The sequence below is a fragment of the Homo sapiens genome, chromosome 4 (genome assembly GCF_000001405.40).
Source record: "Homo sapiens chromosome 4, GRCh38.p14 Primary Assembly".
Taxonomy (NCBI): Eukaryota; Metazoa; Chordata; class Mammalia; order Primates; family Hominidae; genus Homo; species Homo sapiens.
The window spans coordinates 51,887,747-51,904,038 of NC_000004.12; the positions used below are offsets into that span (position 1 = coordinate 51,887,747).

General features: G+C 38.5%; 1 protein-coding gene across 24 annotated transcripts in view; it reads left to right on the forward strand.

Annotated features, from left to right (window-relative positions):
- Positions 1–16,292, forward strand: part of DCUN1D4 (defective in cullin neddylation 1 domain containing 4) — an 82,954-nt gene that overhangs the window by 53,863 nt on the left and 12,799 nt on the right. For all 24 annotated transcript variants that reach the window (XR_007096386.1, XM_047449871.1, XM_047449872.1 and 21 more), the window contains 2 exons: positions 4,014–4,105; positions 11,524–11,632. Coding sequence is in view for 23 of the 24 variants with exons in the window: in XM_047449871.1 (XP_047305827.1) it covers positions 4,014–4,105; positions 11,524–11,632 (201 nt within the window). In the remaining variant the exon portion in view is untranslated. The remainder of the gene's footprint in view (positions 1–4,013; positions 4,106–11,523; positions 11,633–16,292) is intronic.

Here is a 16,292-nt window from a genome sequence, read left to right on the forward strand (position 1 = left end):
AAAATTCACATTTTTTTCTTTAAACTTTTTATTTTACCCTTACCATTTCTGTGCTTCTGTCATCTATCTTGGCCCCCAGCAGTGCTTTAAATTTTCTAAAGAGCCTTTGGAATGTCTTTCACTTATTACATAGATTTTTATCTTGGTTTTTTTTTTGGTTTTTTTTTTTTTTTTAAATGTATTCCAGTTCAGGTATTTCAATAAATTACCCAACTTGGCATGAAGGTTTGGGGACACCTGGGTCAATAGTATTTTGCCACAGACTGGGCCGTAGACACAAGAAAAGACCATTACATTGAATTTAAGAAGGAAGTTTTCTATGAGAACTGGGCCAAGCTTGGCAGAGTGTTTTCTAAACATGTAGTCAGAGGGCTGAGAGTGAGTTGGGCTTGAGAGGGGCTCCGGAGGTTCCACATGGGGTACCGTAGTAAGTATATGACAGAGGAGTGGCAGCAGGGCCTGGGCTTGAAGTTAGAGGCTGAGAAGACTGGGAGACAAAGGGCTTGCTGGTATGTGAGGGATTAGCTGAGCATTTAGTCTCAGAGGCAGAAAAGCCTGTCCAGGATGGGAGAGCACTGACGTTGACTCTAACTGAAGAAGAAAGGGAGGCACAGCTCTTCAAGTTTCCTCACCCCCAAATACCAGTACTCAATAAAAGATAGTTATTGTCATTCTTTTTTGGCAGTTATGAGTCCTTTAGAACTCTATTTCTGGCCTGGCATGATGGCTCACGCCTGTAATCCCAGCACTTTGGGAGGCCGAGACAGGCGGATCACCTGAGGTCAGCAGTTCGAGACCAGCCTGGCCAATAAGGCGAAACCCCGTCTCTATTAAAAATACAAAAATTAGCCAGGTGTGGCTACTTAGGAGGTTGAGGCAGGAGAATCGCTTGAACCCAGGAGGTGGAGGTTGCAGTGAGCAGAGCCGACATCATGCCACTGCACTCCAGCCTGGGCAACAGAGCAGGACTCCATCTCCAAAAAAAAAAAAAAAAAAACTCCATTTCTGTAGGAATAGAAATATCCTTAAAATTTATAATCATATTAAAGACTAAAAGACCATATTATCCAAGTATGTAGGCCAGGCGTGGTGGCTCACGCCTGTAATCCCAGTACTTTGAGAGGCCGAGGTGGGTGGGTGGATCACATGAGGTCAGGAGTTCAGACCAGCCTGGAAAACATGGTGAAACCCCATCTTTAATAAAATACCAAAATTAGCCGGGCGTAGTGATGTGCGCTAGTAATCCCAGCTACTCAGGAGGCTGAGGCACAAGAATCACTTGAGCCCAGGAGGTGGAGGTTGCAGTGAGCCGAGATCGCACCACTGTACTTCATCCTGGGCAACAGAGTGAGACTCTGTCTCGAAAAAGAAAAAAAAGAGAGAATATTATCCAAATATTTATACTGTATGTACTTCAATTCCAAGCTGTCACCAATAGAAGTTGTATTATTTTATATCACTAAGAAAAAATGTGCTAAATAAACTCTGATGTGCTATATCAATTGTGGGTGCATTCCCATTTCAGAGACATTAACATTTGTAAAACAAGTGCTGAAATATGGTGTTTTCAAGCCTTGTCTGCATTGATGGGCAAGCACGTTTAAGGTATTTAAAACCCTCACTTTGCCTGATATTTACAGCTTATGAAATTAAGCAGGCTTGTAAAATTCAAGTCTATGTTCATTTACCAAGATAACAGCAACATTCTTTATTTAAGTACTTAGATTTCTTGTTAGTTAACTTATGAAAGTCTCTTTTTTATGAACTTTCCCATTATGAGTACCTGTTTTGGCTCTTTAGCCATGTTTCATTCATGCTTGTGTGTGTGTGTTCTTGCACCCTCACCATTTTTTTTTAACTTAACAAGTGTTTATGTAGAATTTTTAAATCTTTTTGGTAGAGAGTAGAATAGAGATGGTTTGAGAATACCTAGTTTGCATTAGAAAATGTGAGTTGGTTAGTTGTCCTAGGTAAATCGATATACAAGAGTCAGAATTCCTAGAAACCTGAGGGATGAGGAGAAAATCCACTAATGTGTGAATAATTTGAAGAACTGTAACCCCATCTTTTTGGGAAATTCTTAGTAGCACCTTGGTCTTTTAAGTCACCACTTTAACCTATTTAACAATCATTGCCTTTTAAGCAGTCATTACTAATCAGTCCTAGTAATTTACCTAGTAATCTAAATTTTTAATCCAAAAAAAACCTAATGACTTTCAAAAAATTGATATGTACTAATTTATTTGATGAAAGATCCTAAAAATTTCGTAGGTTCTCACTGATATTAATTTCCAGTGAGGAAAACCATAAAGTCAGCATCAAGCGAAAGCTTCTCCTTAACTCCCCTGCATGTAAATTAGACAAAGCTAGAGATTTTTTAGCCTACAAACTAGCTTATTGGCAGACAGATTAAAAAGAAGAGCTTCTGAATCTCCTAACTACTCTTGTTCTAGAGTTTTTAATGGACATGTTGGCTCTCGGAGGCTCAGAAATCATTAAAAATGATTTCTTGCCTCATGTTTCATGTTTTTATGTCATCTTAGTTCCTTTCACCATAGCCGCCATCTGACCCAGTTGGGCACAGGGATGGTGTTTTAATGGTTTTGAATGGTTCTTTCAGTAGCTGAAATGAAGCCTTAGGCTCTACGTAAAGAGATCAAATTAACTGCCAGTGTCGGATATCCTAGTCCTTGGAGAAACATGTGTTTATCTACCTATTGCCTTTTTCTGTTTCAGCACAGAGAGAGAGCCCATTAACAGTGTATACCTGATCCCTAATTTAGGAGTTGGGTGTTCCTTATGTATGAATGGACTGTCCAGAGATAACCAGCTCTACAGAGTGGCTGGCAGAATGGTCCTAAGAAGGCCCTGTCCCTCTTCTTTACCTTTTTAGGACTGACATTCTTTTTTAGTTACTTCTCACCTCTTCTAGGATCTTTGAGGTAGATGAGAAGGAAGGCTTCCTCCTCCTGTCCTAATCAGGCATGGCCTCAACCCTGTCCCTGTGTAGCATTCCAGATAGCTTAAAGCTGGGTGCACCTTTGAAATGTCATTTTGTCTTTACACCTTTAGGTATTTATTAAAACTCACCATCAGTTCCCTGTGCTATCTTTTCTCTAAAATAGCTAAGGAAAAAGTAGTAAGCAGTGGCATAAACCAGAGTTGTCACTGTTTCTGAAACCTGCATGGTTTCAGAAGAGTCACAAAAGCACAGGTGGCACCTGGGGGCCTGCCCCTCCTTTACAAGTGATGACACCATGCCACAGACCCTGGGCCCATTCCAGGCATAGTGCTGTCTTAAGTGGAATGTGGGGCTACTTTAAAATAATTTCCCACCAGTGTATATAGTGAATTCACAAACATTAAAGTATGTGTGCTACAACTTCACTGCGTGTCTCCCCCTGTCCACCTTGTTATGTTTTAATACACTGTTCTACACCTTGCTGTTTCACTTAATACATCTTGGAAATTATTCCATATTTGTCCAGCTAGTTCTACTTCATTCATCTTAGTGGTGTCATAGTATTCCTTTATATGGAATGTATTCGGCAAAGAAGTATTTAACCAGTCCCTTATTAATGGCCATTTGGTTGTTTTCAGTCTTTAACTGCTACAAATTGTACTGCAGTAAATACTGTTGACTAAAATTCATCTTTGTGTCTGTTTACAGGTAGACCTATAAGATAACTTGCCATGGGTGGAATTGTCAATAACTGGTTTTACATTTGATATTGCCCTCTGGAGAGGGTGATCACCTTACACCTCCACTATCGTGCATCAGGAGAATACATGCTTCTCCAAACTCTTGTCAGCAGACTATATTGTCAACTTTTTTAGATGTTTGCCAAACTAGAACTCATTTTTGAAGTTAACTCTGCTCATATTTCAGTGACTAAACTACTGTGAACAGAAGCATTTAGCAAAACGTTAATGTATTAATGACAGATCTATTTGTTTTTTCTTTTTAATTTGTGTAATATATTTTTTTTTAATTGTGTATTTTTTTTTAACAGGTAGTTATGCTTGTCCTAGCTTGGAAATTGGATGCACAAAACATGGGTTATTTTACTCTACAGGAGTGGTTAAAAGGAATGACTTCTCTCCAGTAAGTCCTAGGCTGCACTAGTGGGGGTCCCTGCCCTTCCCAGGTGGTTGCCTCCTTCCTCCCTAGGACTTCAGGAGGTGATTGAGTGAGTGGAAGGAAGTCAGGTGGTCTGGCCAAGCTTCCCCAGTGGCCAAAGATGTAAAGACTAAGACCCATTTTGAGGACTATTCTGGGCAAATTTATAAAGTGTCTATATGTGTATTTGGAGCGAGAGAGTGTGTTGGTATTCTTGTAGAGCAGCTCTCTCCAGGAGAAACAGACCAACATTTTCTCATACGAGAAAGCCACCTCTATGTAACTTAAGATTTTTTAATAGCTACATGTAAAAGTAGAAACAGGTAAAATCAGCTTTAATCTATTTTATTAACCCCAAACAGTCCAACATATTTTCATTCCAACATGTAATCAATATTCTTAAGAAATCAATGAGATATTTTTATATTCTTTTTTCTCATGGTTAGTCTTCAAAATCTGGGGTTTATTTTGTGATCCATCTCCATTTGTATTAACCACATTTCAAGTGCTCAGTAGTCACATGTGGCCAGTGGCTATTGAGTTGAACGGTGCAGTTTTAGAGCTTAAAAGGCAAAGACTTACTGGCATCTGGTTTATACTTAGTGAGAAAAAGTTGAGTAATGTATAACTTGTAAGTTAAAATATTTGATATCTCTATATATTCTGATTTTAGCTTTGGGCAAAATTAAAACTTCATTACTCCAGTGATTTAAAAAATTAAAAAGATTTGGTTTGTGTAACCTGACCCAGGATAAGAAAAATCAGTGGTTTTATGTATTTGCCTTGTGTATGCAATATGTGCGTGTGTGCATGCGCCTGTGTGTTGTGTATTTGCTCAGTTTCATTCAAGAAAACAAATTGTCATTCTATATTAGGCCTTGAAAGATACAGTTGAAGTGGATAACTAAATGTTTCAAATAGCATTGACGATGAAGTGCTAATTCTTAACATAGTAATTTTAATCTAAAGTAATTGGGATGACTTTCTTTTCACTTTAGGAATAATAGATCTTGATTTTTACTGGATTAAAATTTGAGTTGAAATGGTTTTATTTAAATAATTTTGGAATTTGTCCACTTTTAATATCACTGTCCATTTGTTATTGTTGAGAATGCTTTCGCATTGTGCTTTAGTAGTTTATGAAGACTGTTCACTATTCTCCCATTTGAATGCCTCATAGCTACTTTGTGAAGAAGACAGATCAGATTTTATCCTGAACATGTTACAAATGAGGAGACTGAGGCATAGAGGGGATCGGTGATGTGTGAATGTGGCAGAGATGGGAAGAACACTTAAGACTTCTGATTCTTAAATCACATTCTTCCTTCTAACAATATTATCTGATGACAAATGAGTTTTAGGTAAAAGCCAAACCACCCTTTTACAAATATACTTTCCTATCAGAGTGTGTTCTAGAATTTTAGAGTTAAATTCTCTGAAATCTTTTAAAACTTGTGTATCCTTTTGGGGGAACATCTCCTTATGATTTTAATCCTATTCACTCGTTTTTTCATTATTTTTCTCACTTTTCTTCATTGCTTCCTTTTTCTTTTCTTTTCTTTTCTTTTCTTTTTTTTGAGACGGAATGTCCCTCTGTCGCCCAGGCTGGAGTGCAGTGGCGTGCTCTCAGTTCACAGCAACCTCCGCCTCCCGGGTTCAAGTGATTCTTGTGCCCCAGCTTCCCCGAGTAGCTGGGATTACAAGCAGACACCGCCACGCCCGGCTGATTTTTGTATTTTTAGTAGAGACGGGGTTTCGCCATGTTGGCTAGGCTCGAACTCCTGACCTCAAGTGATCTGCCCGCCTCAGCCTCCCAAGGTGTTGGGATTACAGGCGTAAGCCACCGTGCCTGACCATCATTGCTGAGTAGAGCAGCCGATGGCTGCTTTTTAAAGTGTCCTTGTGATGATGAAGGCATGGGCATATCAGGATTTTATTTCAAGCCTTCAGACGAGGCACCATCAACATTTTCAGGTCCATTTTTATTTGTCTTAAGAAGGTGTGATACCCAGTTTGTATAGTACTGAGTTCTTTACGAAAGAATGTCCCTCTACAAAAGAATATTACCTGATACCAGACCTTGCCCATGTGTTTTGAGGGCCCTATCTCCTGGGAAGTGAGAAGCAATTTCCTGGAAGAGGTCTGCGTCTGCGTTCTGAGTCCAGGGTACTCCTTCAGGCTGTTTGTTGGGAACCTTGCTTGCCACTTTGTATGATGCAGGTGGTGGCAGGTGGGTTCTCAGGGTGATTGCCACTTGATCCTTGCAATTCAGGGTTTAGTGACAAGCCTGATCCACTGTAAAGGCATGGAGGAACCGCTTGCTTTTTGTGGTATGAAACTCTGAAGTTGATGTCCTCATCAGTGAGGTGGAGATAATTATTCAGAATAACTTTTAAGGTTCTTTGTAGTGTCCTCATCAGTGAGGTGGAGATAATTATTCAGAATAACTTTTAAGGTTCTTTGTAGTTCAAAAATAGTCCAACTTCAAGTTTAAGAACCTCTGCCTACCCTCCCACCCCCACCTTCCAACCTTTCTAGATTAGTCATTTGTTTGGCAAATGTTTGAATGACAGTGATGTGCCAAGTGTAGTATTCCAGGCCCTAGGGAATCAAAAACCATGAGTAAGATAAAGTCCATTAAGAGGAGGGGCTTATAAACAATATTCAGACAAAAGATCCAGAAGTCATAAGGTCACTTGTCTTTATGCCAGTAAAGTAACTAAATAAGCATTGTATTTGTGAAGTATGTGCACCTAGTACACAAGAAAACCCAGAGAGTAATCATTTATGTGCTCTAAAGGCAGAAAGTAGTCGATCTTTAAACTATTTTGTCTTCTATTTTGGATTTCTTTTCTATTTTTGCTCATTTTAATTTTATTAAACCTATCTAATGAAATATTTTGATCTCAAACTAGAATTAACAAGTATAGAACAAAATATTTTTATGTATTCATATATGTCTTAGGCCATTTAGGCAGCTATAACAGAATGTTTTAGACTGGGTGGCTTATAAATAAAATTCCAGAGAATTTTATTTCTCTGGAGGCCCAGAAGTTCAAGACCAAGATGCCGTAGATTTGGTGTCTGGTGACAGCCTGCTTTTTGATTCATAGATGGTGCCTTCTAACTGGGTCCTCCCATGTTGGAAGGGGCAAACAAGCGCCCTTGGGTCTCTTAACTAATCTCATTCAGGAGGATTCTGCCCCCAGGACCTAATAATCTCACAAAGGCACCACTTTTTGATACCATCATCTTGGGGGTGAGGATTTCAACCTACAAATTTCAGGGGGATACAAACATTCAGACCCTTCATTATATTTGGTTAAAATGCTGTTAAAAAAAAAAAAAGGTTACTGTATGATGGGAGTGTGATAGAAACAGAAAGCCCATCGGCTGTGAAACCAGAGTTTTTAATCATTTCTGTCATTTCCTGGGTGTCTCTGGTAGCATCCTTAAACTAGGGTGGTGAAGTATGGCTTATGGCTTATGCCTGGGCTCTCAGAGGAATTGTGTGCTTGGCTTCCCTAGGGCCTGTGAGCCTGGGGCAGGACGTGGGTGGTATGAGAGTTTGGACTTAGGCCGGCAGCTGGTAGGGAACATCTATCCTTGCACTCCTGAGATCATTCCCCTGCCAGAGAAGACACAGCTCCTGTTTTGGTCTGATGAATTAAGCTAATTGTGGTGCTTAAACTTAAAAAAAAAAAAAAAAAAAAAAAAAAAAACAGTGACAATTGTTAATTAACTGCAATAAACTGATGATGGGCTGGAAAAATACTAAGTGAAGGGGCAGGGGCCTTTTCCTGGGTAATAGGGGAAAGCTACCTCTGATTTTATAAACTTCGATGATTACTGTGTTGATTTCTGTCCTTACAAATCTGTTAGAGCAGCAAACTCAAAAAGAAATTATCTTACATTGTGTGCATTTTTTTGTGTTGGGAAATGGTGTTCCTTAGAAGCGTGGCACTGTCACTGTGACTTCTACACATTTTTTTATACATGGTACACAGAAACATGTGGGAAGACTTGAGTTGAAGATGTGACTGCTTTCTGAGGTCACATTGGTGGCTTACATGTCCCAAGCCAGGCTCTAGAGTCCTCTGAAGATGTGTACGTTGAGTGGCCACTAGATGGCAACCTGTGGTTCTGGACAGGGTGACTCAGCAGCCTGTTTCACTATTGGGGGCCAGTCCAGGGGCTTTGTGTGTTCAAGACACCCTTTAAAGCAGATTAAACTCTGTATTGGCAACATTAGCTCCCAACCCCAGGTTTTTAATGGGTACCAGAGTTAGTAATATTACTTGTGTTTTTTATGTTTAAAGCACAAGAACTGTTCATTTCCTGCATTTCAGACAGGATCTCTGAGCATCTTTCAAACATAGGGACATCTTTTTGCCAGGATGTTGGGCTTGCTCCCAGGCATGCTGCAGAACTTCACATTTCTTCTCATAGCTCTGCCTAGAGTTTACAGCTAACTTTATTTTCTTTTAACTATGGGGTAGTTATCTAAATGAGTGCTTCCTGCTCTTGAATCTGTTAAAACAAACAACCGCTCTTCTTCTTCGTAGACAGGACTAAACTAAACTACCAGTCAAATCTATGGCTTTGGTCCTTGACCCTCTTTCCGGTGAAGAACAGGGACCTCGACCTTATGTTTTTGGGTTACCCAGTTTCCCTCCTCTTTGACCCTCTCCGATTATTATTAATATTATATTATTATATACACACCATTAAAAAAATCTAACCCTACAGTAGAAAATCTAACCCTATAGTGCGAATTCAGCCCTGCCTCCCAAACTTACTCCTGTTTACTGCTTTCTTGTGTATCTTTCTAGTCCCTGTGACCCCCTCATTGGGATTCTGGCACTAGATCTCTAACTGGCTCTCAATATCTCTTTTCCTTCCCACCAGTCCTTCTCCATGGAGATCAAGAGTGAGCTTGTCAAGATGCAGCCCTGATCGTGGTCTTTCTCATAGTGGCAGGTGGCCTCCATTGTTCCTAGGATGTAATTTTAAAAACCCTCACTGTGGACTACAAAAGCCTTTTATGAGACTGACCCCATGTTCCTCTCAGCATCATCTTATACCTCTTTCCCACTTCCTCTATCCACTCCAGCGACAGTGGCTGTCTTTTAAGTCTGTTGGACTTACCATACTCCCATCTGCTTCTGGGCCTTTGCCTATGCTGTTCCTAATAGACAGAGAGCCTTTCCCACCTCTCCAAAATATCTAGTTCCTGCTTATCTCTCAACTCTCTTAGCTTATGTGTCATTCTCTTGAAGAAGTCTTTTCCGACTCTAAAATAGCCTAATTTTAATCTTTTTTATTTTCCACATTAGGAAGAAATAAGGGGCTTTCTAAATTGTTCTGTTTCATAGAAATTAAACATTTAATATAATTGCAGGCTTTTAGATAGTTTATCATATCAACAAAGAGATCATAAGGACTTATTTGTAGTTAGGTACAAAGAAGGAGCTTTCACAGGCTTGTTTTTAAAAATAGATTCGTGTGCTCTATTATGAACCATTTTAGTTCATACAGTATACAAAATATATTGATAATACTTGGTGTATGTATTATCTGTACTTAGTAGGTTAAAGATCTATAGAGAAAATACGTATTCAGTGTTGAAAATCTTTAATATTGCTGGTGAAAATGGTGACTCTTGATTCTCATTTTTAAGGGCTAGATATTGCAAACAAAATTAGTTTGTAAAAATAACCAATAAGTATGCTTGCTTATGAAAAGTAAACACTGTATCACTTACTGGTAAAAACAGGTTATTATCACCAAGGCTCCCTGGAGAAATGGCTGATTTCAAGTCTGGAATAGGGTAAGAACAGGGTGAGCTGTTCCATCTTGTGCCAGAAAGCAAGGAAATGCTCAGAGACTTGTGGGGGACATGTCAGAAGGAAATTGGAGCCAGCTTTAGGGGGCTACTGCCCAAATGGGGAAAGTTTCTACAATCAAAAAGAGTAATGACAGTAACAGATTATAACACACTGAATTAGACGCAAAAAATCCTAAGTCCAGAAAATAAGAAGGTCATGTGTGGAGCTCTTCTTTATAGAAGAATTATAGCCAATAAATGTAGAAGGAATGATAGGATTAGAAAATCACCATCTTGGGTATTCAGATGTTACTGATTCAGGCAGGTATCACCAATGGATGCTATAACCATTGTGTGTTGTCAGGAGTATGTCCTCCTTGTGAGGTCTTTAGAGATCATTCCAACCTGGCCACAGAACTTCTACTGGGAGAGGAATAGGAGATTAAAGGATTTATTTTATTCTCAGTTCCTAGAGAGGGAAGCATGGCATGCCACACAGGGAGCTATATGGGAGGAGCTCCCAGGGAGTGGGCTCCGCTAAGCAGGTGGGGAACTGAGAGAGAGTGAGGACCCATGGGCAAGTGCCTTCCCTGGATGTCAGATTGGTATGTGTGGATGTCACTCAGTCATAGTCAGGGGAGTGTAAGAAGGGGACCTTGTGGCAGGGGGGCAGACTTACCGCTAGTGGACTTGGTCTCCTGGGTAGGATGTTCATTGCTTATTTGTGGGGATACTGAGGCAGGAGGAAAATAGGAAGTTTAAGTGGTGTACAATACACATTGAGTGAAATGTTATTGGGGACTGGACATTTATAGTCTCAAAGTATCATCCTGTAGATACTTACTATTTCAAAGAGGAAGAATTGCCTTTAAATGGAAAATGGTGGACACCACCATAACCATAGGAATCCACCAATAATGGAACAGGGACAGACAGACATGATGAAGGACACACATCTTGTCAGAAGTGTTGGATCTAAATATAATCATAGGGACATTATCTGACAGATGGACATTCTACAAAAGCAAGTGGTCTGGTCTCCAAAAATGACATTGTCAAGAAAGAAAAAGGCAGAGAACTCTTCTAGAGACTAAGGAAATATGACAGCTAAAAGCAGCGCATGATCCTTGATTGGATCCTGATTGAAAACAGCAGCTATAAAAGAAATTGGGGAATAATTGGGAAATTTGCAGGTGGTTGTATATCAGCTAAGAAAGTTAACATTGATACAGTAGTAAGATTGTTGATGGTGTTGAAGTGCTTAGGGATGAAGTTTCATTATGTTTGCAACTTTTAAATGGTATAGAAAAATGTATATGTATATGAGAGAGAGTACATAAATATAAAAAAGGTTAATTGCTGGATCAAGGGGATGGTATATGAGTGGTTATTTGCTATTCTTTCAACTTTTCTGTACATTTAAAATTTTTTTTAAGTGTAGAAAAAATAGGTTATGGATGTGTTTCAACTTCAGGGATTTGTTCTTTCCTTTGGTATTGTGTTTATATTACTGCCTCTATTAAAAAAATAAATAAATGAACTCAGGTCATAATTTGCCTTTATTCTGTTTTTCTAGATGTGATACAACAGAAAAACTCAGAAATACTTTGGATTACTTAAGATCATTCTTAAATGATTCTACAAACTTTAAACTTATTTACAGATATGCGTTTGACTTTGCACGGGTGAGTTCTCTGGAGCCTATCCAGATGTTTCCCTCTCTTCCCTCCCCTTTTTAAATTGCCTTTTGAGGTTAGTTTTTACATGCCACAGCAAAAAAACTTGAATAAGTTAACTCCCAGGATGCTAGTTAGTATTTCTTTCTACATGTATGCTTTTGAAAACTAAGTTTGATTCTGGTCAAACATTCTGTAGGTCAGCAAAAAGCTCTAGTGGCAGACGTTTACTGGCTCTTGGAATTGGCTTAAAAGTGACATGGGCATGCAATACACACTGTCTTAAATGTCTCTTAGATAAGGTTGGAAAAGCTTTCCTTCTCACAGAACAACAAACCTTCTCCTGTTGAGTTTACTAGAATAAGCTAATCATATCTAATTCAGATTCACCGTGGGTGCTATTATTGTATTTGGAAATCATGTGAATTTTAGACGTAAGCTAATTTCTTACATTACTTAATGTAATACATTACTTAAATGTATTTTTCTAATCATCGTTTTGAAAAGCAGTTACCCTATTTGTCACATAGTGAGTCAAGTCGAAGTATGTGAAAGTGGTTCCCTTGGAGTGAAATAAAAATCTTACTTTTCAGCCTAGTCACCATACATAGAGAATTTTGAAGCACCAGTTGGCATCATACTCAATTCAAACAAAATCTATATCCCATACAATTACAATTTATTCTGAAATGATGTTTTCTGTTAGGTCTGTTTGTTTAGTGGATTCAGGTGACTAGGCTTTCTTGTTTGATTGCACTTTTTTAAATTATTTTTTTTTAAGGCAGAGAACTCGGTGACAATTTATTCTTTTTTCCTTACCACCATATTGATTTTTTTCACTTTTTACTCTCTTTGGCTCTGCCAGTTCAGCACCAAAGGTTTATTTGATGGTGAATTTTGATGCATCTTGCAATAACGTTCTCTGTGGTGCCCTCATTCATGCATTTTCCTATTATTACAACCTTCTAGTTAAATCACACCATGCATAGAAATTTATTGATGTTAAAAACGATAAGGTGAAATTCAGATACAGTGTTTGATAAAATGGCATTTGCATAATAATATATAAAAGTTACCTGCCAGGCCAGATGCAGTGGCTCATACCTGTAACCCCAGCACTTTAGGAGGCTGAGGCAGAAAGATCACTTAAAGCCAGAAGTTTGAGACCAGCCTGGGTAACATACCCTGTCTCTATACAAAACAAATAAAAAAATTTAAAAATTAGCCAGATATGGTGCCTATAGTTCTAGCTACTCAGGAGGCTGAGGTAAGAGGATTGCTTAAGAACAGGAGTTCGAGGTTAAAAAAAGAAAAAGGAAGTTATTTGCCAGATGCTTTTTTTTGCTAGATGCTTTTAGAATAGTTGACTGGTTTCTAGGATTATATAGTTTATTTCATGAGTTTTTTTTTTCCTCCCAAAGTCAGCTGTTTCTTATAGTATGGGTAGAAATTCATTTAGAAACATCATACCTTCTCTACCCAAATCAGCTCTATTTTCTAACTTCCTTGACTGGGGGAGTCACAGTTCTCCCAGATATCCAATGTGCTTTAGATCTAGGTTCTGCTTTACTCCTCCCTGGCTAACGTCCTGTTCTGGGGCAGTCACCCTGGCACATCTCATGAGTGCTCTTTGGCCACCTTTTTCTTGGTGCCTCCACTGCAGCCTCACCGGTGGAGGCCTTGCTTCTCCTTACCAGCCCTCTTCTGGTAGCCTCATGTCCACATTCTTTCACTTCTTACCCTGTGCTCACATCACTAGGGTGTCATTCGTCTTCCTTCAGCCCCTGGGTCACTCAGCCACCTTCCTGCTCCCCACAGCCTCTAGTACCTCCCCACTGTGTTTATATCGACCCAGCACTTCCCTGTGTATACGACACAGTTGTTCCCATGTCAGCTCTGAGGGACAGCCGGGGTGGTTTCAGTCCACTTTACAGAGTAAGAAAGTGCGCTTCAGCAAAGGGGAGAAATGGCCACGTTGTTCATAGTAGATCCATGACTCAAACCTAGGCCTTCTGTCTCCAAGTCTAGTATGTGGGTTACTCCAGACCCTCACAACTAAGTCCCAAGCTTCCCCACTCAACGCCTGCATTATGATGAAATTGCACTAACGGTTGCTCACTGGCCCTGCTTCCTGGCCTCTCTGCATTCTGCCTTTGGGAGTGCTGGGCCCTTGCCTAGAGCCCCGTTTGCATTAGCACAGTTGTACCCATCCAGGCCCTGGGTCTGAGCCATGTGCTTCTGCTTCGACACAGCCTCCTGGTCAGCCTGTCAGGGATCAGCCTGTCGGGGTGGGATTGTGCTGGTTTCAGTTACATACCCCTGGTGTCTCCTCTACTTGGCTTTGGAGTTTGAGTACAGGCCTTAATTTTTCCTGGCAGATTGAGGGACTCTGTAATTTCTTTCTTTGTACATCCTTTGTTTTAAAGGAGAGTCTCAATTAATATTGGTGAATTAAGCCCTTTCACATAACAATAAATAAAAACAACCATATTTAATCATTGCTTAATTACCGGATAGATTCAGTTTAGCTAAAATATGCTCTAAGATAAATTTTTTAATGAATCCTGTTCTTTTTTGCTTTGTTTTGTTGAGCTGTATCTTCACAGATTTTGAGATGTTATATTTTCATTTTCATTTAGTTAAAAATATTTTCTAGTTCACCTTGTGAATTCTTTTTTGGCCCATTGATTATTTAGAAGTATGTTATTTTCCAGGTATTTAGGATTGTCCAGATAATCTTTCTATTATTGATAGTTTAATTCTGTTGTGGTCAGGGAACATACCCTGTATAATTTTTATCTATTTGATTTATGGTCCAGAATATGGTCTGCTGCGGTGAATATTTTATGCGTACTTTAAAAGAATGAATATTCTGCTGTTGTCAGTGGAGTGTTCTATAAATGTCAATTAGGTCAAGTTAGCTGATAGTGTCTTTCAGGTCTTCTGTATTCTTCCTGATTTCTACTTGTTCTGTCAATTACTGAGAGAGGAATGTTGAACTCTCCACCTGTATGTCTTCTGTCACCTCTGTCACTTTTTTGCTCCACATGTTTTGAAGCACTGATACTAGGTTTAGTATTGTTATATCCTCTTGATGAATTAAGACGCTTTACCATTATGTAATGTCTCTCTTTATCTCTAGTAATATTCCTTATATTGAAGTCTACTTCGTCCAATACAAATGTATTCACTCCAACTTTCTTTTTATTAAAGTCTGCATGCTATATCTTTTTTAAATCTTTTACTTTTAACCTGTTTGTTTCTTTATGTTTAAAGTGGATTTCTTATGGATAGCATGTGGTTGGATCTGACAATATGTGTTTTAACTGGGATGCTGAAACTATTACATTTAATGTAATTATTGGTATGGACAAAATTTATATCTCCTCGCTTGCTATTTTTTCTCTATGTATCCCACCTATTTTTTGTTCCTTTTTTCCTCTTTTCATGCCTTCTTTTTGGATATTTTCACTATTGCCTTATTAACTTTTTTTTCCTAGTAGTTGCTCTGGGTGTTCCAGTATACATCTTTAAATTTCACAGCCTACCTTCATATAATGTTATGCCACTTCATGTATAATGCAAGAATCTTTACAACTGTGTACTTTCATTTTGCCCTCTCATATTTTATGCTGTTTTTGTCATTTATTTTATTTAGGCTATAAATGTCGCAATATGCTACTATAACTTTTGCTTTAAATTGGCAAAAATGTCTTTTATTGTTACTCAGAAATACCAAATATATCATATATATCTATGCTCCTTATTTCTTTTGTGTAGATCCAGATTTCTATCTGGTATCATTTTCCTTCTGCCTAAAAAACTTTCTTTAATGTTTCTCATAGGCTAGATCTGCTGGTGATGAGTTCTGTAAGCTTTTATTTTGCCTTCAACTTAGAAGAGACTTCTGGGTAAAAAAATTCTAGGTTGACACTTTATTCTTTCGGTACTGCAGTAATGTCTCTGCATTGTCTTTCATCATGTGTAATTATAAATCTGGTGTCATTCTCACCTTTATTCCTCTAAACACGTCTTTTGTTTTCTGACTTTTTATTCTCTTTCCATTGCTTTTTTAGCAAGTTTATTATAATATTCCCTGGAATAATTTTCTTTATGTTTATTTTGGTTGGGGATTGTTGAGCTTTTTGGAACTGTGGGTTTATAGTTTTTATTAAGTTGGGAAATCTTTCTGCTGTTATTTCTCCAAATATTTTTTCTGTTCTGTCTCTGCTCTTCTGCGACTACAGTTACAACTATGTTAGGTTGCTTGAATGTGTCCCACAAGCCACTGATGCTGTGTTCCTTTTTATTTTTTCAGTTTTTTCTGTGTCTCATTTTTAATCATTTTTATTACTATGTCTTCCAATATTAATCTTTTCTTTTGCAGTGTTTAATCTGTTCATCTCAACCAGTATATTTTTCATTTCAGATACTATATTTTTCATCTTTAAAAGTTCCATTTGGGTCTTGTTTATGTCTCCAGTTTCTCTCCCCATCATGATAATATTTTTTTCTGCTTCGTTGAATTTCTAGAACATGTTTATAGTAGGTATTTTTATAACCTTGTCTTCTGGTTCCATCATCTGTTAATTCTGTGTCTCTTTCTGTTGGTTTATTTTTCTCTTGGTAATGTGAGTTACTTGCCCAGCTTCTTTGCATTGCTTGTAAT